The 23,306-nt window shown below is 56.9% G+C and overlaps 2 protein-coding genes and 1 long non-coding RNA gene across 3 annotated transcripts in view, besides 4 other annotated features; 2 read left to right on the top strand and 1 right to left on the bottom strand.

Annotated features, from left to right (window-relative positions):
* TTC34 (tetratricopeptide repeat domain 34) overlaps positions 1 to 6,864 on the top strand; it is a 164,708-nt gene extending 157,844 nt beyond the window's left edge. The window contains exon 9 of the mRNA NM_001242672.3: positions 1,955 to 6,864. Within this exon, the coding sequence (NP_001229601.2) occupies positions 1,955 to 2,482 (528 nt within the window). The 3' untranslated portion in view covers positions 2,483 to 6,864. The remainder of the gene's footprint in view (positions 1 to 1,954) is intronic.
* Positions 5,613 to 5,813: a silencer, noted in NCBI's record as "peak16 fragment used in MPRA reporter construct". NCBI's record gives its function as "represses an SCP1 promoter by STARR-seq MPRAs in K562 erythroleukemia cells {active_cell/tissue: K562}" and the evidence as "EXISTENCE:reporter gene assay evidence [ECO:0000049][PMID:32103011]".
* A 365-nt stretch (positions 6,865 to 7,229) lies between the features above and the next one.
* MMEL1-AS1 (MMEL1 antisense RNA 1) lies at positions 7,230 to 15,094 on the bottom strand. Its single transcript, NR_183343.1, has 3 exons — positions 14,947 to 15,094; positions 11,175 to 11,348; positions 7,230 to 7,494 (listed from the first exon to the last, which is right to left on the bottom strand). It is a non-coding gene; the product is annotated as an MMEL1 antisense RNA 1 (long non-coding RNA).
* The window catches only part of MMEL1 (membrane metalloendopeptidase like 1), a 42,378-nt gene continuing 29,905 nt past the window's right edge, over positions 10,834 to 23,306 (top strand). Inside the window, exons 1-2 of the mRNA NM_033467.4 lie at positions 10,834 to 10,984; positions 14,329 to 14,519. Coding sequence (NP_258428.2) covers positions 14,366 to 14,519 — 154 coding nt within the window. The 5' untranslated portion in view covers positions 10,834 to 10,984; positions 14,329 to 14,365. The remainder of the gene's footprint in view (positions 10,985 to 14,328; positions 14,520 to 23,306) is intronic.
* Positions 12,604 to 13,104: an enhancer, noted in NCBI's record as "H3K4me1 hESC enhancer chr1:2562185-2562685 (GRCh37/hg19 assembly coordinates)". NCBI's record gives its function as "activates a minimal SCP1, AML or CMV promoter by ChIP-STARR-seq in primed H9 embryonic stem cells {active_cell/tissue: H9 hESC(primed)}" and the evidence as "EXISTENCE:reporter gene assay evidence [ECO:0000049][PMID:30033119]".
* Positions 14,286 to 14,580: a silencer, noted in NCBI's record as "tiled region #11692; HepG2 Repressive DNase matched - State 20:ReprD, and K562 Repressive non-DNase unmatched - State 10:DNaseD". NCBI's record gives its function as "represses a minimal TATA promoter and a strong SV40 promoter by Sharpr-MPRA in HepG2 and K562 cells {active_cell/tissue: HepG2 | K562}" and the evidence as "EXISTENCE:reporter gene assay evidence [ECO:0000049][PMID:27701403]".
* Positions 18,278 to 18,527: a silencer, noted in NCBI's record as "fragment chr1:2556762-2557011 (GRCh37/hg19 assembly coordinates)". NCBI's record gives its function as "represses an EF-1alpha promoter that drives an FKBP-Casp9 reporter gene in an ReSE screen in HepG2 liver carcinoma cells {active_cell/tissue: HepG2}" and the evidence as "EXISTENCE:reporter gene assay evidence [ECO:0000049][PMID:32094911]".

Raw genomic sequence — 23,306 nt, 5'->3', positions numbered from 1 at the left:
CAGAACTACACCCCAGTGGGGCCTGGGCAGGATTTCACCTCCTTAATGCTTCCTGACACCAGCGGGTTCTAGCACTCCGGGGCCACTTAGGAAAACAGAAACCACACTAGGAAGAACAGGGAGCTCATGGCGGAGTCGGGGCTACACCAGTGTAAGGGGCAGTTCGGTGCTGCAGAGGGGGCGCCGCTGCCCCCCCCGAGCTGAAGAGCAACGCTGAGATTGGGTTATCGGGACCTAGAGGAGGCGGCCGGGCTGGGCGGGGTGGGGTCTCAGAGCTCCCAGAGGGACTGGGCGTTTCCAAGCCAGGAGGAGGGGTCTGTGCTGGGGTCTTCGAGGTGGGAGCAGGGCCTGGCAGGGGGCGGGAAGCCTGGCTGGGGCCATGGTCCCGGAGCCCAGAGGAGGCGGCTAGATGGGGTCTCCTGAACGGGGGTCACCGAGCCCGGAGGCGGGGCTGGACGCGGGTCTCCGAGGCTGCAGAATACGGCTGGGCTGCGGCGCCAGGAGGCGGCTCCCGGCACAGGCAAGAATCTGCAGGACGCGAAATGGTTGCCTGGAGACGGGGACCCACCCGGAAATGAGCCAACAGTGGTTTCGCCCCGCTTCCTGCGCCCCGCCCCTCGGCAGGCGGCCCCCTCCGGGTGGCACTGCGCCTGCGCGGCCCGAGCCGCGGGCTCAGGGGAGTCTGGGGTCGGATTGAGCGCCCTTCCCCACTGGGGCGGCCTGGGGGCTCCCGGGGTCCGACAGCTGCTCGGGGCCTCGCCCTCCTGCTGCCATGGACCCGGCCCAAATGTGCGGGTCCTGCGCGGGCCGAGGCTTCACTACCACCCCGGGCCGTGAACTACGGGTCGGGGTCAGGTGCCTCCGCCCGGAGAGGGGCGGTCCCGCGGGCCGCACCGCAGGCGAGGGACGGGGTTTCGAGCCCCTGCCCTGCTCAGCGCCGCTCACAGCTGGCAGAAGAGGCCACACTGTGCCCTGCGGGAGCCCAGCAGCAAAGCCGGGGCCGTGGGACCCCCTCGCTCCCTGCACGGACCCCGGGCGTGGGCCTCGGCTTCGCCCCGTGCGGCCAAGCCTGGCGGGGTCCTGGGTGCGCTGCGCCCCCCGGGGGAGGTAGCGTCGAGGACCGCCGGGCTGCTGGAAGAGAGGCAGCGCCAGCGAGAAAGGCGGGGCCTGCACCTTGGCGTGTTCCTCAGGCAGCGGGGAACCCCTGCAGATTCTTGAGCGGAGGAGGAGCCCAGCGAGGCGAGCGGATTTCTGGTCGTGGTTGACTCTGTGAAAAAACTGGGTCAGAGATGAGGCGATTGGGCCTGGGTGGGCTCAGGAAAGTGCCCGGGAGGAGTGGGGGGGGCAGGCAGGCCTGGCCAGCAGCAGCCCACAGCACAGGCTGTGCCCTCCGTCCAGCAGCCCCAGGGAGAGGGGCTAGGGTGCACGTGCTCAGAGGCCTGGAGCAGCCTTCAGAAGGTGGGCAGAGTGGAAGGGCTGGGCAGCAGCCCCCTCAGAGGGCCCGATGGAGAGGTGACTTGGCCCAGAGGGACCGAGGGAGGAGGCCGGTGTGGTCACCCAGTCAAGGGAACCTGGGCCCAGCCGGTGGGGCGGTAGGGCTGCCAGGAGGGGACCATGAGGAGGTAAATCCAGGTCCCTGATCCGAGGCCCAGGGAGAAGAGCAGTGGGCAAGGATGCCAGGCCTTGGGCCAAGGGTCGGAACAGCACTTTGGCAGGTTCCAGGGCAGTGGGAATTGCAGGGAGGGGTCCTCTACCCTGGGTCCCCCTTCCTGCCCTTGCCCATGGTCAGCCAGCCCCTCCAGAAGCAGCGGGCAGCTCCTGTGCAGCCCAGGGCCCCGCCATCCCCAGGGAGCCAGCAGAAGCTGGCTGTGCAGAGGACCTCTGCAGGGCAGGGGCGGCCGGGCTTTTGGGGCTGACCCCACTCTCCCTGCCTCTCTCTGTGTCCTCTGTGCAGGCGGCGGCCCAGGAAGCCGGCACCCTCCTGGACGCAGGGCAACCCAGGCAGGCGCTGGGCTACTGTTCGCTGTCTGTCCTGGCCAGTGGCAGCAGTGCCTGTCACCTGCGTCTGCGGGCCACCTGCCTGGCCGAGTTGCAGGAGTTTGGCCGGGCCCTTAGGGACCTGGACCATGTGCTCCAGGAGGCGCTGGGGGATGGTGACCTCCCAAGGCGGGCAGAGGACTTCTGCCGTCAGGGTCGCCTGCTGCTGAGCCTGGGGGATGAGGCGGCGGCCGCAGGGGCCTTTGCCCAGGCCCTGAAGCTGGCGCCCTCCTTGGCCCAGAACAGCCTGTGCAGGCAGCCAGGCCGGGCCCCCACTGCACGCATGTTCCTTCTCCGCGGGCAGTGCTGCCTGGAGGAGCAGCGTCACGCAGAGGCCTGGACGGCGGTAGAGAGCGGCCTCCTGGTGGACCCCGACCACCGTGGCCTGAAGAGACTGAAGGCCAGAATCCGGAGGGAGGCATCCTCAGGCTGCTGGCTACAGTGACTGGGCCTGACCCTCTCCCAGCCCTAATCACGGGGCCACCCTAGCATCTGCACCTGATGTCCAGGCCCAGGGGTGTACCCAGCTCCCTAAATCGGGGAGGTACCTGCCCTGCCCTCTCCACACCCCCTTCCCAGCCCTCCCCACACACCCCTTCCCAACCCTCCCCACAACCCCCCTTCCCAACCCTCCCCACAGCCCCCCTTCCCACCCTCCCCACACACCCCTTCCCAGCCCTCCCCCTTCCCAGCCCTCCCCACACCACCTTCCCAGCCCTCCCCATACCTCCCTTCCCAGCCCTCCCCATACCTCCCTTCCCAGCCCTCCCCACACCCCCCTTCCCTGCCCTCCCCACACCCCGCTTCCCTGCCCCAGCATGAGTCAGTGTTGGACAGCCAGCCTCACACCTCTGCCTTGGGAAGGACAGGGGACAGCTTCCTACTTGCATGAAGGGACCATCCTAGAAGCTTCACAGTCCCTTCTACCACCAGCAACCTGGTCCCTGCAGTTGGGGCCCTCTTGGCCCACACCTGGGGCTCAGACCTTGAAGAAGCAGCCCCAGGTCTCGTCCCTGGCCTGGGATCCTACAGGTTGGACAGGTTTGAGGCCAGACTCCTGGGGCCCTTGGGGAGATGGTACCAGCCCCAGAAGCCCCTCCCTGGGTGTGAAGCTGCGTTTTGCTTGGACCCTGAGCCTTGGGCCAGCCTCCAGTAGAGCCTGAGCCCTCTCCAGAGACAGAGCTCCCAAATGGGCCCAGCCAGCCCATACCCCAAGCTGACCTTTCAGGGTGCTTTCATGGGGGCCCTTCATCGAGAATCCAGTGTGCTGGGGGTAAACTTCCTCCCTCCTCCACAGGCCCCTCCCTTCCAAGCAGAGGGACCACCGAGGGGCCCTGATGAGCACAGTCCCCAGGCTCCCACCAGACCTGTCTCCCGAAGCTGCTGGGAGGTATCAGTGCTTCCACAGAGCGAGAGAACAGCTTGTTCTTATACGTGCGTTAAATGTCCCCAGGCCTTGCAGCTGCCAGTGAGCTTGGGGACTTCTGGGTGGGGCAGAGGCAGCCAGCCTTTGCCCATCACTGTGAGTGTCACAGACTGAGGCCTCAGCCCGGGGCTTTCTCTCATGGCCATGGGCGAGAGACATGCTGGGTGAGCTGACTCGGTGCAAAACGTGCCCCCAAGCCCTGCCTGACTTCACCCTGGGGAGACAGGGCCACGACCCCCCCTCCTGGCTTCTCTCTCCTCCTGGGCACTTGCATTTGTCCCATTTCTGTCCCCTTCTCTGCCGCTTCCTTCCATGGTCTTGAACCCACAGATAGACCCCCTGCCTCTCCACCCACTTCGCTTCTGGGATCATCTGACGAACCCCAGTCCAGGGGGTCAGGCAGGGAGGGGCCCTATTCCTCGCCCTGCATGGAAGTGGGGCCCCCAGGCGGCAGGTGCAGGGCTGGGTAGCCCCCCTCCTCCTCAGGCCTCACCCACTCCTCAACCCCCATGCACCTTCATCAGCTGGCACCGCCTATGTGTCTCTGGCCACAGGGGTCTGGGTAAAGGGTCAGTGCCTCCCACCTTGAGTACCTCGGGGATGGGCAGCCCACAGTGGGAGAGGGCCCTGACAGGGACCTTCAGCCCCGCTCCTCGCCTTCCCCGCTCGGAATCTTCACGCAGTCCCCCTCTTCCGGGGTTCCCCAGCGCAGGCACCAATTTGATCCATCTTCCGCCTGCCAGCTCCCCATCCACCCTTCCCTCCCTGTCTTCACCCGTGTGCTCAAGGACTCAACAAACACCTGTCAGCAGCCCAAGAGCTAAGTTCAGGGACACGCAAGTTCCTCGGGTCAGGTGGGCCAGTCGGCACTGAGGCAGAGGAGGCAAGGGCTGGTCCAGAGAGCCTGGTCACAGCAGAAGGGCCTGCTCCAATGTCGGGGCCAGGTGGAGGCAGTGGGGAGGCGTCCCCTAGGGGTGCCCTTCCCCACCACGTTCCCTGCTCCTACCGTCCTCCTCGCCTGGGATGTCCTGCCCCATCCATCCGTGCAAGGCTGAGTGTAGATGCCAGCCCCGCTGAGGCTCCTCCTGGACCTCAGGATCGCTGTGTTTCTCCCCCACCAGGGGGCTGCCCCCTCTACCACCAGCTCACCCAGCAGGTATCTCTCATCAGCCTTTGGCCTGGCTCCTTGCTGGGCTCTGAATGTCTGCATTCCCCCAAACTTTATGTGTTGCGATCCTAACCCCCAAGGTTATGGTATCAGAAGTGGGGCTTTTGGGAGATGACCAGGGGTGGAACCTCATGAGTGGGATTAGTGTCCTTATAAAAGAGACCCCAGAGTTCTCCCAAGCCCCTCCACCATGTGGAGACCCAGTGAGAAGCTGTCTGTGAACCAGGAAGGGATCCTCACTAGAGAGCGAGCTGGCACCTTCATCTTGGGCTTCCAGCCTCCAGAACTGTGAGAAATAAGTATCTGTTGATGAACCACCTGTCTCTGCTATTCTGTTGGGGCAGTCCAGATAGACAAAGACATGCCCGTTCCCGCGGCCCACCACCTCTGCCCTGAGCACAGTGGGTGAGTCTCGGTTCCCCTTATCCCATCCCTGCTGGGGTCCAGCCCTGGCTTTTCCTGAGGTAGTTTCTCCAGGACCAAGCAGACACCCACAACCAGCAGCCCTTAAGGCATGGACGCACTCGTCCCTGAGGCCTGGGTGTCCCGCCTGGAGGGGCATGTCCACAGCTGCTCTGGGTCCTGACGCTCCAGGAGCTCACGCTGTCTGCAGATCCACCACTTCCCTGGGCAGTCCCCGGCCTGCGTCTTCCTCAGTGCTCAGCTGGAGGTGGAGAGAAATCAGGCTGGGACGGAGGGTGGCCCTTGCTTTGCACGATTCCTGCCTCGACGTTACACCAGGGACATTCCAGCATCTCCCCTTCATTAACTGTAGACCGCCAGCAAATCCAGATTTCATTCAACCAAGTAAACTGGTAGAGTCATTTCCAGCAGCTAATGTGAGCTAGCGCATTAAATTCAGAATCTCTAGTAAGTGTACCTGCATCAATAAAGCCAAGCCGGTCCAGCTGCATTAATACCCTACCCTCCATTCCCACACGGTTCCCAGGTCTCCGTGTGTGAATTTGTAACATCTTACGAGCATTTTGGTGTGAAAGTGGTTCCTTCCTGAGTCAGGCTTTGTACTTGACCCTTCCCCTCCCTGGGAGTACACTGAGGTTCTAGAGGCAACAGGGTGGCTATGGTGGTTAAATAAAATGAGCATCATTTCTAGGCACCTGGCCAGGTAAGCTTATCACAGCATTTTCAAGCAGAACAAAAAAAATAAATAAAGGCTACTCTCAGATCTTGGAGGACAAGCTGCTTCCCCTGGAAGGAGAGGCTCAGAGAACCAGGGGGTTCACAATTCTCAGCTTCATCTGAGCCCAACCAGACATCCCCATGCCAAGCTTCAGCATCCAGTTCCTTCCCACTCAGTGCCCACGTTTCAGTAGTGAGGCTGTGAGTGTGAGCCACACAGCAGTCACACAACTCAGAGTTAAACTGTGCATCCGAGTTGTAGCAGCAGCAGCCCCGAGGCTCTCAGGAACAAGGGACTCTTCCATGGCCATGGCAGTCCTGATTCTCTGTCTATGACTTAAACTGAGTTTAGAGACCTGAACGTGTGGTTCCTTCCTGTTAGTGCTGCTGGACACTCAGGGGACCCCCCACAGCCCTCGTGGTTGTGGTCATCCTCGTGGCCGTGACAGCCTCACACAGCAGCACGTGGGTTCCCGAGGCCCTCAATTCTGCTGGTGCCTCACAGCCAGCATGGGGGATGGCTTGGTTAACTGTGAAGCTCCCCCAACAACACTGTGGGCCAACAGCCTCCCCTTCCCACTGGCCAGGAGATCGGCCTGCAGCCCAGCCCAAGCAACAACCACACTAACCTAATCCCCGGACCCCACCTTTTGATAGTGACAGGAGGCAGACAAATCCTAGGCAGACAGGGACAGGTTCCCAGTGAAACCCCACCTCCGAGCCAAAGACAGTTTAAAGCCTGAAAGCCAAGCTACAAATTAAATCCTCAGCCTGGATTGAGAACCCATCTTCCCATTTGGCTGCTTTCCTCTGATTGATCCCCACCCTTCACCTATTTTACATGTACCTATCTTTTCCTAATTCATTTTCTACACTGGCATGCCCACCTTTGAGTGGTACCTTTGTTTAAGCCTTTTTTGCATAATCAGAAGCCAATCAGCATGCACTCCCCCATTCTGAGCCCATAAATGCCCCGGACCCAGCCACACTAGGAGAGAAACCACCTGACTTCAGGTCGGGAACCACCCGTGCATCCCCTCTCTGCTGAGAGCTGTTCCGTCTCTCAATAAAATTCTTCTCTGCCCTTCTCACACTTCGATTGGCAGCATCTCCTCATTCTTCTTGGACACGGGACAAGAACTTGGGAACTGCCATACATGGGTACAAGCTATAACACAAGCAGGCTGGAACATGCCCAGCCCAGCCACAGGCTGAGCTGGTGAACAGCCAGGTGTGGCCCAGGCAGGCTGAGTGGGTGGGCCACCTCCTGCGGCAGGTAGCATGGCCAAGAGAGGCCTGGGGAGGGGGGGTGTCAGCAGCCAGAGGTACCTGGCTGGCAAAGTGACCAAAGAGGTACCTGACTGTGTCACTTTGAGGGCCTGTCTCTGGGGACCCCCTCCTAGTATGAATTTATGTATCAGTTGGGGTCTACTTGGGAGATGGAAACCACAACAGTGATTCTAATAGCATGAATTTAATGTGCAGAATTTTTCATTAGTTCTGGGTAAAAACAGCTCTAGGGAATCATGGAGGTTGCAACCACAAAATTCAGAGAGGTGACCTGGCTGGCGACACTGGTGATAATGGTCACCTGCCATGCAGCCTTTCAGCTCAGGTGGGCACACTCCTCTGCCCCTGCCCACTTCCTCTCCCAGGTGAATCTTGACCACACCTGTGCCTGGCACTGTGCACACATTCTCTGTTGTTCAACTCTGCGATCAATCTGGAAAAAAAAGAAAAAAAAAAAACCTTTTTAGGAGAGTAAAAGGAAAATAAATCTTGGGGCCCCAAAATCACTAAGCCAAAGGGAAAAGTCAAGCTGGGAACTGCTTAGGGCAAGCCTGCCTCCAATTCCATTCAAAGTCATTCCCCCGCTCGCTGAGATAGATGCATATCTGATTGCCTTCTTTGGAAAGGCTCATCAGAAACTCAAAAGAATGTAACTCTATCTTACATGTGTTGATTGATGTCTCATATCTCCCTAAAATGTATAAAACCAAGCTGTCCTCTGACCACCTTGGGCACATGTCAGGACCTCCTGAGGCTGTGTCACAGGTGTGCATCCTTAATTTTGGCAAAATAAACTTCCCAAATTGGCTGAGACCTGTCTCAGATTTTTGGAATTCACAAGTGAGGAGGCAGAGGCTCCAGCTACTGGGGATGGGCTGGTGGCTCAATGACACAGATTTTGGGGCAGCGGGACCACTGGGCCCCTTCCCTCCTGCCCTGGATACCCAGGGCCTGACTTCAGGAGGCAGCTGACAAGGAAGGTGGGGACCCCAGAGGCCCGGCTGTCGTCCCAGCAGCCGGAAAGAGGCTCACCCAGAAATGCTGGTGAGCCTCTTCTGACCTGTGCATCTTCTCTAAGTGGGGCACCTCATTCCTGCCCAGAGCGTAGCTGGGCAGACCTGAGGGAGAGGCCCTGCTCCCAATGGGCAGAGGAAATGCCCGTTGGGCACGTCTGGGGTGCACCAAAGCACAGGACCTGCCACCAGTAGCCTGGCCTGAGAGTGTGGGGCAGTCACAGGCAGGCGTCTCCAGGGCCTGAGGGCAGCCCCCAAGGCAGGGTGGACACGGCAACCTGGGTGAGGGCAGCCCCACAGCAGTGTGGACAAAGGCTAGTGCCCTCAAGGCCCACCCTGGCCCCAGGGCTGCTGCAGGAAGCACTTCCCTGACCCCCGTCCCACCTGCCTCCTTGGACCCCTGAGCTGGGGCTGCTCCTTGGATCTCCACATCCCACAGCAACCCAGAGAGTAGGAGGGGCAGGGAACACCCATTTTCCCCCAATCTCCCTAGGAGATGGGATTAATGTCCACCTCCGGGGTGCTGGGCTCTGGCTATGCGGGTGTCTGGGGGGACAATCCATGCAGGTATTTGCGGGGGATGGTCTGTGCGGGTGTCTGGGGGGATGGTCTGTGTGGGTGTCTGGGGGGACAGTTTATTCTGTGTAGGTTGTCTGGGGGGACAGTCTGTGTGGGTGTTTGGGGGCATGGTCTATGTGGGTGTTGGGATGGTCTGTGCGGGTGTCTGGGGGGACAGTCTGTGTGGGTGTTTGGGGGCATGGTCTATGTGGGTGTTGGGGGGATGGTCTGTGTGGGTGTTTGGGGGGCCAGTCTGTGTGAGTGTTTGGGGGCATGGTCTATGTGGGTGTTGGGATGGTCTGTGTGGGTGTTTGGGGGGACAGTCTGTGTGGGTGTTTGGGGGCATGGTCTGTGTGGGTGTTGGGGGGATGGTCTGTGTAGGTATCTGGGGGGACAGTTTATTCTGTGTAGGTTGTCTGGGGGGATGGTCTGTGCGGGTGTCTGGGGGGATGGTCTGTGTGGGTGTCTGGGGGGATGGTCTGTGTGGGTGTCTGGGGGGATGGTCTGTGTGGGTGTCTGGGGGGACGGTCTGTGCGGGTGTCTGGGGAGAGAGTCATCTGTGCAGGTGTTTGGGGCGGCTGGGTTGCACTGCCCTGGGCACCTGCAAATCTGTGAGTGTCCAGTGACCGGGGTAGGTCTCGGGGTCTGCAGCCTCCTTGGCCTTTAGCCTCCTTTCCCAGTTTCTCTTGTCTGGCAGGTGCCAGGCTAGGACCCAAGCCTCCTGCTGTCACCTAGAAGTAGGGAGAACCTGGGAATAAGGGGTCCCAAGTTTGGCAGCCCAGGTCACCAGGTGGCCTTGGGCCAGGCTGGGGGCTGCTGGGCTGGACAGGCCTGGGGTTCGGGAAGGAGGAGCATGCACAGGGCCAGCCTTGGGGAGTCGGTTCAGAGTCCAGGGAGCCCCTGCTGAGAGTAGGCCAGGCCCCTGCATCTGTTTCTCCCTCTGTGGATTTGTACCTTAGAGACAAGAACACTGTGACATCCAGAAAGGGCCTGCTGGCACCAGGGCTGTCGGGCAGGTGGGCTCGGAAAGGCTCTGGCCTCTCCCCATAGCAGGAGCCTCCAGCCAGGCTGGACCCTGGCCCACTCCCAGCTCCCCAGAAAGGGCGGTCCCAGCTTCCTGCTTGGCTGGCCTTGACATTGTTTCCATTTGGGCCAGCAACCCAGGCAGCCTGAGGCCAGACTGCAGCTCCTGGGCTGGTTGCTGGGCGTGATGGCAGGGGGCTGCTAGGACAGCCAGCGGGCCCCAGGGAGAGACTTCCCGGGCTCAGGGTGGTGTCTGGGATCTGATCCCAGCCTGGCTGCAGCTCGAAGCCTTTCTCCTCCCAGGGCCTGGCCAACCTAAAGGGCCATAGACAAAGCTTCCAACAGCACTCAGCGTGGGAGACCTGGCCGGGGCGGCCGTGAGGAGCAGTTTGCCGTGGGACCCCTAGCTCTGTGGCCCAGCCCTGCCCAGATGCCCTGACACATGCCCAAGGCCTGGGCAGGAGGACTCGTTCTGGGGATTCTGAAACAGAAGCTAGAAACCTCATCAGGCCTGGAGAATCAGACAGAGACTGCTCTGCCCAGAACCCCCGTCCGCAAGCAGGGCTGGGTGCAGGGCTCACACTCTGATCACTGCGAACCCTTCAGAAGCCACAGAGCCCTTCTGCCAGCTCCCCGGCCAGGGCTGCCCACCCTCTGTAGCTTGAGGTCTGAACCTCATGAGTTTTCTGTGGGCAGAGGGAAGCAGCCAAACCCAGGCTAGTATCTCTGGGTGGGACCCTCCTGGCAGCCAGCGCCCACCCCCTTCAGGACCACCCCTTCCCCTTGCACCTTGGCAAGATCCCCAGAACCCACCATCCTCCTTGGAGATTGAAGAGAAAGAACACCCAGGGTGGGGCCTTTGTAACCCCCCACCGGGTGGTTAGGGGCAGAGCAGAGGGTGTGGAGTAGGACAAGGGCCTGACCTTCCTCCCAGCAGCCCCTGGGGCCCCTTTGGACTGAAAGGTCAGGAGACAGAAGCAAGGAAGGAGGGCGGCTTGGGAGGCGGGGCCAGAGGCCCTGAGAAGGGCACCCATGAGGCAGGGCAGCCCGGGTGCCAAGAAGCTGCCCTCAGCCCCTCCCCCCATGCCACACCCCCAGTGGAACCTCCTGACTGTGAGCAGGAGTCACCGCCTCCAGGGAGCCCATGCCTGCATCACAAAGGAGGCCCAGAAGCCTTCAGGCAGCCTCAACTCAGCCCCAAGCCACTGCTCTCCCATCCCAGTCCCTGGAAATCCACCCACTTGGCCCAGCTCACCCCAACTCCAACCCACTGGGACCCAGTCTCCAGGGGCCTGACTGTGGGCGGCAGCCACTCCTGAGTGAGCAAAGGTGAGTTGTGCTGAAGGAAGGTACCCGGCCTGCTTTCCTGGGCCTTGAAACCCTCTCCAGGCCCTCTCCTGGGCCTTGAAACCCTCTCCAGGCGCTCAGCCCCTTTCTCAGGAGGCTGGGCAGGGCGTCCTGTGTGCAGTCTCGCCTGTGCCAGGGCAGGCAGCCCCCTCTGGCATACGGTTTATCTTACCCAAAGGACCCGCTGTCCCCCATCTGTAGTAACCTGGAGAGGCCACGAGTGTCCCCAGGGAGCCGCAGTGCCTTCGCCTCAGCAGACACTCCACACCTGCCCCGGGTACTTGGCTCAATTTGAAGGTGTTTATTTTGTGTGTGCCGTGGGGCACATGGAGCCGTCTGTGGATACCTGCAGGACAGAATGAATTCAGGACGCAGGAGCAGATTCATTAATTCTGACCAAAGAAAGAAGTTCGTGGAAGCTGAGCTCAGACTTGTCCAAATGATTGATCCATTCATTCATCATTCATTCATTCATTCACCCAACAGATAATGACCGAGGTCTCTGGGGTGGGGGTGCCAGTCTAGGTGAAGCGGCCCCCACAGAGGGTGCCCCTGCCCGTGGAGCTGACGTTCCCAGGGGGCTGCAGAAGTATCGAGGAGATGTGGAGGTGGAGCTGGGAGTCCCTGGAGAGACACAGAGCAGGGGAGGGGCTGGGGCTCCCCGAGTTGAACCCGAGGCCGAGCCAAGGAAGGCCCCACTGGGAAGGGGAGCTTGGCAGGAATCTGGGAGGCCTGCCTGGGTGGGTGGGGAGGGTGGGGGGAGAAACCTGGTGGGCCTGCCTGAGGGTAAGGGGAGGGCATAGTGAGAGGGGAGGAGGGCCAAAGAGGGTCCTGACATCAGGGCAAGGCCCGGCTCTTCCTCCAAGGGTTTGGCTACCAGGGGCCAGGGAGTGACGGCCTCTGATTCTAGTTACAGGCCCCTGGGCCCCTGTGGTGGGGATCAGTGGGTGAGACAGACCCCTCAGGGGGAGGTGATTGGTGGGGCCTGGAACAGGCAGCGAGTGGCAGGAATGAGAAAGGGTCCGACTGAGATGGGCTTGGAGGCTGAGGACTGGCGCGGGGTGTGGACGCAGGCAAGGGAGGCAGATGGCTCCAAAGTCCAGCTTCAGCCAGTGGCGGGATAGGGGTGTCTAGGGGCACAGCAGAGGGCGTCAAAGGAAGCATCTGAGGGTGTGTGGATGCATGAACGCTGCGGTTCACAGAGCCAGGGACTGAGAGAGGTGGCTGAGGGGACAGGAAGGGAGGAGCGAGGGACCTGGAGGAGAGGAGTGAGGTCCAGGTCCCCGTCCCCGCTCCTCACACAGCCAGAGGTCAGGGATCTCTGGAGGAGTCGCTGAAATGAGCTGGCCCAGCCACCTTTGCAGGGTGTTGCCCAGACAGGCTAAGGGACATCTAGGATCTCCCAGGGAGTCAGGGACAGAACTCAGGCAAAGTCCACAGCAGGGGGGCGGTGGGGTACAGGGGGGCGGAAGCACATTTAGCCCAGGTGCTGGCAGTCTCAGCAGCCAGTCCCTGACCCACCCACAGGCAGGACTGGGCCTGGCTTCCTTTCGCTGCTCCCACATTATCCGCCCTGCCTGGTACAGGGCTAAGCTGGGGCTCAGCACAGCAGGTGTGTGATTGCGTGTGACGACTGAAAGTGCTGGAAGGCCAAAGCACCCAGCCGCTTCCCTAGGACCGGGCAACTTCCCAGCAGGGCTCCGAGTGCCAGCGAGGGATGTGCACATCCATGCATGTGCTCACATATGTGCACACACACACAGACATGCACAGCCACACACCAGAGCACACGCACACACGTGCACACCCACACACACAATCATGCACATGCACATGAGCGCACACGCACAGGTGCACAATCACAGTCACACACGTGCACACACGAGCGTACACGCACACACGTGCATATCCACGCACACAATCATGCACATGCACACACAAGAGCACACGCACACAATGCACAGTCACACACATGCACACACGAGAGTACACGCACACAGGTGCATATCCACGCACATAATCATGCACACGCACACACGAGAGGACACACGTGCACACTCAGGCACACACGTGCATATCCACATAATGCACATGCACACATGAGAGCACACGCACACGTGCACAATCACACAGTCACACACGTGCACACACGAGTGTACACGCACACACGTGCATATCCGCACACATAATCATGCACACGCACACACGCGAGCACAGGCACACACGTGCAGTCACACACATGCACACACGAGGACACACACGTGCACACTCACTCACAGTCACACACATGCACACATGAGCGTAGACAGTGCATATCCACGCAATCATGCACACGCACACACGAGAGCACACGCACACACGTGCACACACACACATGCACACACCAGAGCGCACACACACGTTCACGCTCATGCAGTCATGCACATGCACACACCAGAACATGTGCACACGTGTGTGTACACGATCATACATCAGAACATATGCACACACGCACAGTCATACACATGCACACGCCCAACTACATGCACACACTCATTTGCACACATGTGTACACTCAGGTTCACACTCCCACACATACACGCACACTGGAGCACGCAGACTTGGGAGCCTCCTGAGTCCAGTGTCCTGTGCCCCAACCCTTCCTGCCCAGCTCCCTGTCCTGCCTACAGCAGCAGCCTGTGCCCAGCCGTGTGTGTCTTCAAGTGCTGCCCACTGCCCTGCTGGCTCCAGAAGGTGTCCCCTCCATAGTAACAGGGTCAGGGGACGACCAGAGCTGCACACCAGCCAGGTGGCTGCCAGGGTTGAGACTCAAGCCTGCCTGGCCCTGCAGATCCCTTCCTGGCCCACGTAGTCACCGCCTGTGTGGGTACCTACTGTTCTGGTGTCGCCCATCACTGGCTTCTGGGCTTCAACAGGAAAGGTGGGCTGGGAGCCCAGAAGCCCAAGTGGCCTCCCCGACAGCGTCCCTGACCTAGCGCTCAGGCCCACAGCTCCAAGACAACCAGCATGAGCAGCCCAGGGGGGGGGCTCCACTACAGGAGTCCCTTGACAGCACAGGAGCTGAGCCTCCTGGGTCCAGCTTGCGACCCCAAGCTGGGAGCATCCCAGTCCTAGAACCTCCATGCACTCAGAGATTCCGGCCCAGGGGTAGTGTGGAAAGTCCCGGGACCCAGTCACCCAGGGTTGTGAGCTTGGAGAGGGAGACGGGAAGAGTGTTCCAAAGGCACCCAGCGCCCGCTCCCAGCCAGCATCCGGCCCTTCCAGCCTCGGGCCGGGCTCGGGGAGCTCCACGCCCCTCTCCCCTCTCCCCTGCCCTGGGCCTGCAGGTTCCTCCGCGGTGCTCTCCCGTCCAGAGCCCTGCTGATGGGGAAGTCCGAAGGCCCAGTGGGGATGGTGGAGAGCGCCGGCCGTGCAGGGCAGAAGCGCCCGGGGTTCCTGGAGGGGGGGCTGCTGCTGCTGCTGCTGCTGGTGACCGCTGCCCTGGTGGCCTTGGGTGTCCTCTACGCCGACCGCAGAGGTGAGTGCGGGTGCCCCGCCCCCGCCTGTCCCCGTGCCCGCTCTCCGCGCTCGCCCCGCTGCACCTGCTGCAGGGTCCGCCTGCCCCCAGCCCGAGCCCGCCCGTCAGATGGGGCAGGTGGGTCTGCACTGGGCACCCAGGGGCTCCCGGGGCCGAGCTGCGGACTCAGAGGCGGCGGGAGGGGCACTGACCTGCAGGGAGCCCGCGGTCCCTTCCAGAAAGCTCTGCCCCGGCCCCGACTCCCGCGCGCTGCTTCTGCAGCTCCGCACCCGCCCGCCTCCGCCTCCGCCTCCGCCTCCGCCGGACTCCCGGAGGGTGGGGGGCGCAGACCCGTCGCCCGCCCCTCCGCCCACCCCCTCCCTGCCTGGCCGCGCAGCCCCGGCTGGGGACCACCGGCGTCCGTGTCCCTCCCGCCGCCCGGGCTCACCTGGCTGCCTCACTCCCCCGCTGCCATCCTGCGGAGAGACCTGAGGGTCCTGCCGCCCCCGCCCCGCTCAAGGCCGGGTCAGGTCACGGGACCACGGCGGGAAGGGGCCAGTCTGGGGTCCCACGGAGACAAAGGCGTGGCCAGGGCTGCTCGCTGGAACCTCGGGCTGTCCCGGGAACACTCCCCCCGCCCCCGGCTGTCCCGGGAACACTCCCCCCGCCCCCACGCCGGCCCCTCCCTTGATCTCCCCTCTTGGTTCAGGGGCTCCCAGGCACCCGTAGACCTGGTCACCTTCCAGCCGCCCCTGCCAGCCCCTCCGCAGGCACAGCCCTGGTCCCTCTGAGACCGGGCAGCGCGCACACATCGGGGAGCAATGCTCACCCCCGGGGCAGGTGCGTAGGGCGCTCCCACCGTGGCAGGCACCGGACTCAGAGCTCATGGCGGACCTCGCACCCCAGGTCCAACAATGGGGCGCCTCAGCCTGTGTTACTAGAATGCCCCCTCATGTCTGGAGCCCTGCGCACTGCCTGGGACCATCCCTCCACCCCTGCGGGAGGCTGTGTCTGTGAAGCAGAAGTGGGTGCTGCCTGTGGATGTGCAGGGCGTCCCGGCCCGGGGCTGCATGGCTGGCCACTGTACAGTGTGGCTGCTGCCCAGACCGCAGCCCCTGGCCCTCTAGGGTCTCCCCTGGGACAGAGGGGTCCTGCGACCTCCATGGGCGGTGGGCAGTGGGGGAGGGAAAGGCTCACTCACACTGAGGAACCCAGAGCCCAAGGGAAGCTCTGTTCAGAGCCTGCTGGGCTCAAAACACCTGCTTTCCAGGCTTTCATAAAACAAGGCTGACCCCACACACACCCCCAGCTGTGGGGTAGGAGGAGGCCTCTCTTCTTCTGGGTCGTGCCAAAGGGCCTGAGCCCACCCATCCCAGAGAGACCCTCCCTGCCCAGCCAGGTGCCTCGGGAGTGCCCCACGGTGCCATGGATCTCAGCAAAGCCTGCCTCCACCCACTCCAGTGTGGAAACGGGCCCTGGACCCCCTCCCTCCAGGGCGGCAGAGCCCTCTGTTCCCCGTCAAGACCCCCCACCAGGAATGACCCCACAGCTGACCTTGGCCTCAGTCCAGGATTGTTTGTGGAAGGTTTTCTAAGCAGTTATTATCATTTATTTCTGTGTATTTTCTCATTTCCATTATGACTTTTTCATTGACTTATAAGTCATTTAGAAATTTTTTTAATTTCCAGACATGAGTTTTTAGTTACTTTTTTAAAATTATTGATTTCTAACTTAACTGTGTTGTCAGAAACCATGGTTTATGCCATTATTTATGTGGTTCTTTCTTTGATATTTGCTGGGCTTGCTTTGGGGCTAACACTTGATCGATTTTATAAATAAGCCCTGTGTGCTGCGGAATAGGCTCAATCACCAAATGCTGAGTGATGGTGTCTATCTACATCCACTAGATCAATCAAGTCTTCTACATATTGGCTCTTTTTCCATTCTCTTGATCTCAAAAGAATGAAAGATTTGGAAAGATCAAGAAAATGATTTCTTAAAATCATGTACTGAAGTGTGTATGCTAAAATCTTGCACTAAAGAATCACCCGTTCTTGTAGTTACATCAAATCTTACCTAATTTACCTATTTAAGGCGATATTACTATGTGAACGCAAATTTAGGTATGAATTATAAAATTAGTTTCATAAATTTAATATTGTAGTAAGATACACATATGAAGTTAATATATCTTTCACTTCGTGAAACTGTGTAGTCACCGTTTCTGACTTAACAAGGCTTTTTGCCTTAAATCCTGTTGAGCCTGACATGAGTACTAGCTACTCAGCATTTGCTGTGTCTATTTTTTCCATTCTTTTTCTTTGAAACTTTTCATCTCCTTAGCTTTAGATGTGTCTCTTTCAATCGTGTATGGCTGGATTGGGGGTTTGTCTATCTTTTAATTGGAGGATTTTGTTGGTTTATAATTACCAGGACAACTAAAATGTATGTGTTTCCTATTGTGTTGTTTTGTGTGTCTCATTCGTTTTTTTCTCTTTTCTTGCCTTGTTTTGGATCAACCTATCATTATTTCCTCTATTTTCCCTCAACTAACTTGGAAGTTTTGTATTTCTATCTTTTCGACAGTTATCTTAGATTTTTTTGTTTTAATTATTTTTAAAGTTATAAACTTTCTTTTATAAAATCAAATGTTTTTACAAAAATGACAGTGAGAAATACAGTCTCATGTCCATCCTAGAATTCTACTCCTCCAAAACAACTGTATTCATTTTCTAGTACAGGGGTTGGCAAACTATGGCCCATAGGCCAAATCTGGCCCCTTGCTTCTTTTTGTATATAAAGTTTTATTGGAACACAGCCAGACCCATTCATTTATGTATCATCTATGGCTACTTTCCTGCTAGGACAGCAAAGTTGAACAGGTGAGATGAAGCATGTATGTGGCCCACAAAGCCTCAAATATTTACATCTGGCTTTTTACAGAAGTCCAACCCCAAGACTGGAGTGCCCCTCGTGTATAAACCTGGTCTGTGAACCCTTCTCTCTTTATCGTACAGTTTAGATCATGAGGAGGCATTATCAGATTGTGGCTAGCACCCAGGCTCACAGTTTTTGACCACTCAGAAAGCTCAATCCACATACCTCTTCCCCAAATTTCTTTGTCACCAATTTTCCAATCATACTTCTTCCAAGTCCCTGACCATCCAGCCAAACCATTGGCTACAGCCCATGAATCGGTACATAATCGCATCGCACATCTGGCCTCTTCTCCTTCCAAGCAAAGTGCACAACAAGGTACGCTGCTTGAAGTTCTGCCCACTGGGAAGATTTCCCTTCACCGCTGTCCTTCATGGATGTCCTGGAAAGGGGCTATAGTGCTGCAGCTGTCCACTTGTGGGTGGTGCCTTCATATCATGCAGAACCATCTGTGAATCAGGCCCTAGTCTTCTCTTCCTCTGTCCACTGGTCATAGGGAACTCCCCATGAGGCTATCGGTGCAGGCTGGAGGAGAGAAGGCAGGGTGGGAGGAGTGAAGACCATGGGCATTTGAGCCACTTCCTCATGTAACTTACTTGTGCCTTCAGGACTTGCTTGAGCCCGATCTTGTATATACCACTTCCATTTGATGATGGAATGCCGCTGTGCATGACCCACTTTATGGCTAGATGGGTCAGAAAGCACCCAGTTCATGATAGGAAGTTCAGGTCGCATGGTGACTTGGTGATCCGTAGTCAAACGTTCACTTTCCACCAAAGCCCAGTAACGGGCCAAGAGCTGTCTCAAAAGGAGAGCAGTTAACTGCAGAAGATAGCAGGGCCCCGCTCCAAAATCCTAGAGGGCTCCGCTGTGATTCACCCACAGGGGCCTGCCAAAGGCTCCAAACAGCATCCCTATCTATCTGCCACTGACACTCCAGGCACCGTTGGATCTGCTGGGTCATACAGCCCAAGTGGCAGAGCAGCTTGCCCAGCAGCCTGGACCTGTTGCAGAGCCTGCTCCTGTTCTGGACCCCGCTCGACACTGGCAGCCTTTTGGATCACTTGATAAATGGGCTGAAGTAACTCGCCCAGATGAGGAGTGTGCTGCCTCCAGAATCCAAACAGGCCCACTAGGCCCGAGACACCTTGTCTCAGATGAAACTTTGGACTCGGAATTTTGAGTTAATGCCGGAATGAGTTCAGACTTTGGGGGACTGTTGGGAAGGCATGATTGGTTTCAAAATGTGAGAAGGACATGAGATTTGGGAGGGGCTGGGGGCAGAATGATATAGTTTGGCTCTGCGTCCCCACCCAATCTCATGTCAAATTGTAATCCTCATGTGTCAGGGGAGAGGCCTGGTGGGATGTGATTGGATCATGGGAGTGGATTTCCCTCTTGCAGTTCTCGTGATAGTGAGTGAGTTCTCACGAGATCTGGTTGTTTGAAAGTGTGCAGCTCCTCCCCCTTCGCGCTCTCTCTCTCCCCTGCTCCACCATGGTGAGACGTGCTTGCGTCCCCTTTGCCTTCTGCCATGATTGTAAGCTTCCTCAGGCGTCCTAGCCACGCTTCCTGTACAGCCTGAGGAACTGGGAGTCAATGAAACCTCTTCTCTTCATAAATTACCCAGTTTCAGGTAGTTCTTTCTAGCAGTGTGATAATGGACGATACAAGTAGAGACTGAGATCAATAGCATTTGCACTGGGCCTGGAACACACTGTTAAGAACGTAAGAGCTATTGCTGTCATTAGTAATATTCTGTATTATTGGCAACATCATCACAATACACTGCTGTGGGAGGGTCTGAGATACTTCTTTGCAGACTCCAATATTTGTCAAAACATAAAATCAGGAGCCTCATGAATAGTGTTTAAATTTTTACATAATAATACATTGCACCATTTGGTATATGAGTCTTTTTGAAATGGTATATGCAGGACGGTTTCCTAATATACAGAATCAGGTACACCTCCTCTTCCATCAGTGCGTGAGTGTGAGGGATTGAATTCCTCTGGTTAGGAGTTAGCTGGCTGGGGGTTCTACTGCTGTTGTTACCCACAGTGCACCTCAGACTCACGTTTCTCCAGCAATGAGCTCCTGTTCCCTGCACTTAGAGAAGTCAGCCCGGGGACCAGACGGTTCTCTCCTCTTGCCTGCTCCAGCCTTGGCCTTCAGCAGTCTGGATGCCTATGACACAGAGGGCATCCTCCCCAAGCCCTGGTCCTTCTGTGAGTGGTGAGTTGCTGTTGCTGGTCAGTACTAGGCTCGGGCTGGAGGTGGGGGCTCTCTGGTGTCGTGGCCCAGTCTCAGGCTTAGGCAGGCCTAGTATACCTGGGGCTGGGGATGCACCTCTTGGCATCCCTACCACATCCCCATGTCAACCAAGCTTCGCCCTGTGCCTGAGTTGCCCACCCCTCCTCTAGAGGCAGGAGACTGCTTGATGTCAGTCTAGGATTCTGGGCCCACAAGGATCTCCTGCCCTTCCATGGGCCGGGGATTTTTACTCCTGACCCTCCTACAGAACAGGGGATTTGCCTGGTTCCTGGGCGTGAGAGGGGTTACACCTGCCTCAGTGGTTTAAAGCTTTTGCTGCCTGCCAGACGAGTATAGTTTCATGTCTCAGCCAAAGCAGGTCCCTGCCTCCATCCCTGGGCCACCAAGGGAGGCTCTCTCCAGCCTTCTGAGACCTGCCCCAGCCTTTCTCATCGGCATCTGGGAAAGGCCGTGGACAGAACATGGAGTGATTGAAAACCTCTTCGTGATGGGGGCTCCCGGCTACTCCAAACTCATGTAGCAGCCCACACTGGGCCTGTAAGAATGTGTGAAAAATTTTAGCTGATTTCTTCTGACCCACTTGGAACATCTCTTACTCTCAGGTCTTGACCAAAGTGAAATAATTTACATATCCGGCCTTTCCTTGGAGGGCCTTATCACTCGGAAATTGTTTACCTGATTGTCTTTGACCTCAGGTCTTGGATGGGCTCCAAAAAGTTGTGCTTTTTGTAGTTTCTTTGGCTTTTTCTTGTACGGAAGGAAATGATATTCAATTGCAGCTTTTGATGTCCTCGGCAAAAAGCAGAACTTCTCTACCTTAAATTTTTATGCTTATTTAACTTAAATATTAAAGTAATCAATATCTCTATTATTTCTTCCAAACAATACAAGCATTTAGAACAGTTTAACTCTTCGCACCACTACCCACCCTGTTCACATGTTATTGCCGTTAAGAACTTGGTTTTTTTTTTTTTTTAGACGGAGTCACTCTGTTGCCAGGCTGGAGTGCAGTGGCGTGATCTCGGCTCACTGCAACCTCTGCCTCCTGGGTTCAAGCGAGTCTCCTGCCTCAGCCTCCTGAGTAGCTGGGACTACAGGTGCGTGCCATCACACCCAGCTAATTTTTTGTATTTTTGGTAGAGATGGGGTTTCACCATGTTGGCCAGGATGGTGTTGATCTCTTGACCTTGGCCTCCCAAAGTGCTGGGATTACAGGGGTAAGCCACCGCTCCTGGACTTTTTTTTTTTTTTTTTTTTGAGACAGAGTTTCACTCTTTCACCCAGGCTGGAGCGAAGTGACACTATTTTGGCTCACTGCAACCTTCGCCCCCAGATTCAAGCGATTCTCCTGCCTCAGCCTCCCAAGTAGCTGGGATTACTGGTGCCCACCACCACGCCCAAATAATTTTTGTATTTTTAGTAGAGATGGGATTTTGACATGTTGGCCAGGCTGCTCTCAAACTCCTGACCTCAGGTGATCCACCAGCCTTGGCTTCCCAAAGTGCTGAGATTGCAGATGTGAGCCACCGCGCCCGGCCAAGAATTTGGTTTCTATCTTACTTTTTACCTACCACAGATCAGCAACATTACTATTTAATATGGTCAATGTTAACTCAGATCTTCCCCTATCCTCATGAATTCCATTATGCATCTTTCTTCTTACATCTTGGGCAGTTCTTATTAAATAATTTTTCTTTTTTCTGAAATACATACTTCAGAGTCTCCTACTCAAAGTGTGGCCCACAGACCAGTGGTGTCAGCCATTGCCTGGGAGCCTGTTAGAAATTCAGAAACTCAAGGTCCAACCAAGGCCGCAGGACCGGTGTTGGTATTTCAGCAAGACCCCCAGGTGATTCATCTGCACATTCATGTTAGGGAAGCACTGGTTTAAAACAGTGTTGACCAAATTTGCTTGATAATTGGAATCACCTGGGGAAATTGTTACAAATCCAGACATTGGGCCCTCCCTCAGTTTGCCTGGGCTACAGTCACAAAATGCTCAGGTGGCTTAAAAACAGAAACATATTTTCTCCTCCTAGTTCTGGAGGCTGTGAAGTCCAAGATCTAGATGCCAACTGAATCAGACCCTCTTGTCAATGACAAGAGTCAAACTCTGTAAAACATTTGCAGAGATTTATTCGGAGCCAAATACGAGTGACCAATGGCCCGTGACACAGCCCCAGGAGGTCCTGAGGACGTGTGCCCTAGGTGGTTAGGCTGCAGTCTGGATTTACACATTTTCGGGAAACATAAGACATCAATCAATACATGTAAGATATGGCTGGGCACAGTGGCTCACACCTGTAATCCCAGCACTTCGGGAGGCCAAGGTAGGTGGATCACCTGAAGTCGGGAGCTCGAGATCAGCCTGACCAATGTGAGAAACCCCATCTCTACTTAAAATACAAAATTAGCCAGGCGTGATGGCGGATGCCTGTAATCCCAGCTACTCGGGAGGCTGAGGCAGGAGAATCACTTGAACCTGAGAGGCGGAGGCTGCAGTGAGCCGAGATCGTGCCATTGCATGATGATGGATGAAACTGCATCTCCAAAACAAAAAAAAAAAAATGTGCATTGGTTCAGTCCAGAAAGGTGGGACAACTCCAAGTAGGGGCTTCCACATCACAGGTAGATTCAAAGGTTTTCTGATAGCAGTTGGCTGGAAGAGTTTATCTAAAGACTTGGAACCAATAGAAGGGAATGTCTGGGTTAAAATAAGGGGTTGTGGAGACCAAGGTCCTTATTATATAGGTGAAGCCTCCAGGTAGCAGGCTTTGGAGAAAATAGATTGTAGTTCTTATTAGACTTAGTCTGTTCTCTCAGTCTTAAGGTCTCTGGTTTTGTTTGTTTGTTTTTGAGACAGGGTCTCACTCTGTCACTCAGGCTGGAGGGCAGTGGTGCAATCACAGCTCACTGCAGCCTCAACCTCCTGGGCTCAAGTGATCCTCCCACCTCAGCCTCCCAAGTAGCTGGGACCTCAGGCACATGCCACCACACCTGGCTAGGTTTTTCTATTTTTTGTAAAGATGGGTCTCTCTGTGTTGCCCAGGCTGGTCTCAAACTCCTGGGCTCAAGCAGTCCTCCTGCCTCAGCCTCCCAAAGTGCTGGGATTATAGGTGTGAGCCATCACGCCTGGCATGTCTCTGTTTTAAGGTGAATGCTGGTCAGCTGTGCCTGAATTCCAATGGGAAGAGGGTATAATGGGGCATGTCCAACCCCCACTTCCCATCATGGCCTGAACTCGTTTTTCAGGTTAACTTTGGAATGCCCTTGCCTGAAGGGAGGGTCCATCAGTCACCTGGAAAATTTAGTTTATTTTTGGTTCATGCTTTCTTCCCACAAGGCCCATGCTTTTTTTTTTTCATTATTTTATTGTTTAAAAATGTTTTCCCACTTCAATAAGCTGGTCTACCAAATGGCCACCTTCTTGCTGTGTCCTCATGTGGTGGAAAGAGACAGTGAGCTCTGTCATTTCTTCCCCCTCTTATGAGGGCACCAGACTTACCAGATTATGCCCCCCACCAGCCCTGCCCATTGAGCTGATTTTAAACCTCCTCACAGGCCCTATCCCCAAATAGTCACATTAGGGGTTAGGGC

This window comes from Homo sapiens, chromosome 1, assembly GCF_000001405.40.
Source record: "Homo sapiens chromosome 1, GRCh38.p14 Primary Assembly".
In the NCBI taxonomy this organism is placed as follows: domain Eukaryota; kingdom Metazoa; phylum Chordata; class Mammalia; order Primates; family Hominidae; genus Homo; species Homo sapiens.
The sequence above is the reverse complement of the archived record's forward strand: the minus strand, read 5'-3'. Positions and strand labels throughout refer to the sequence as shown.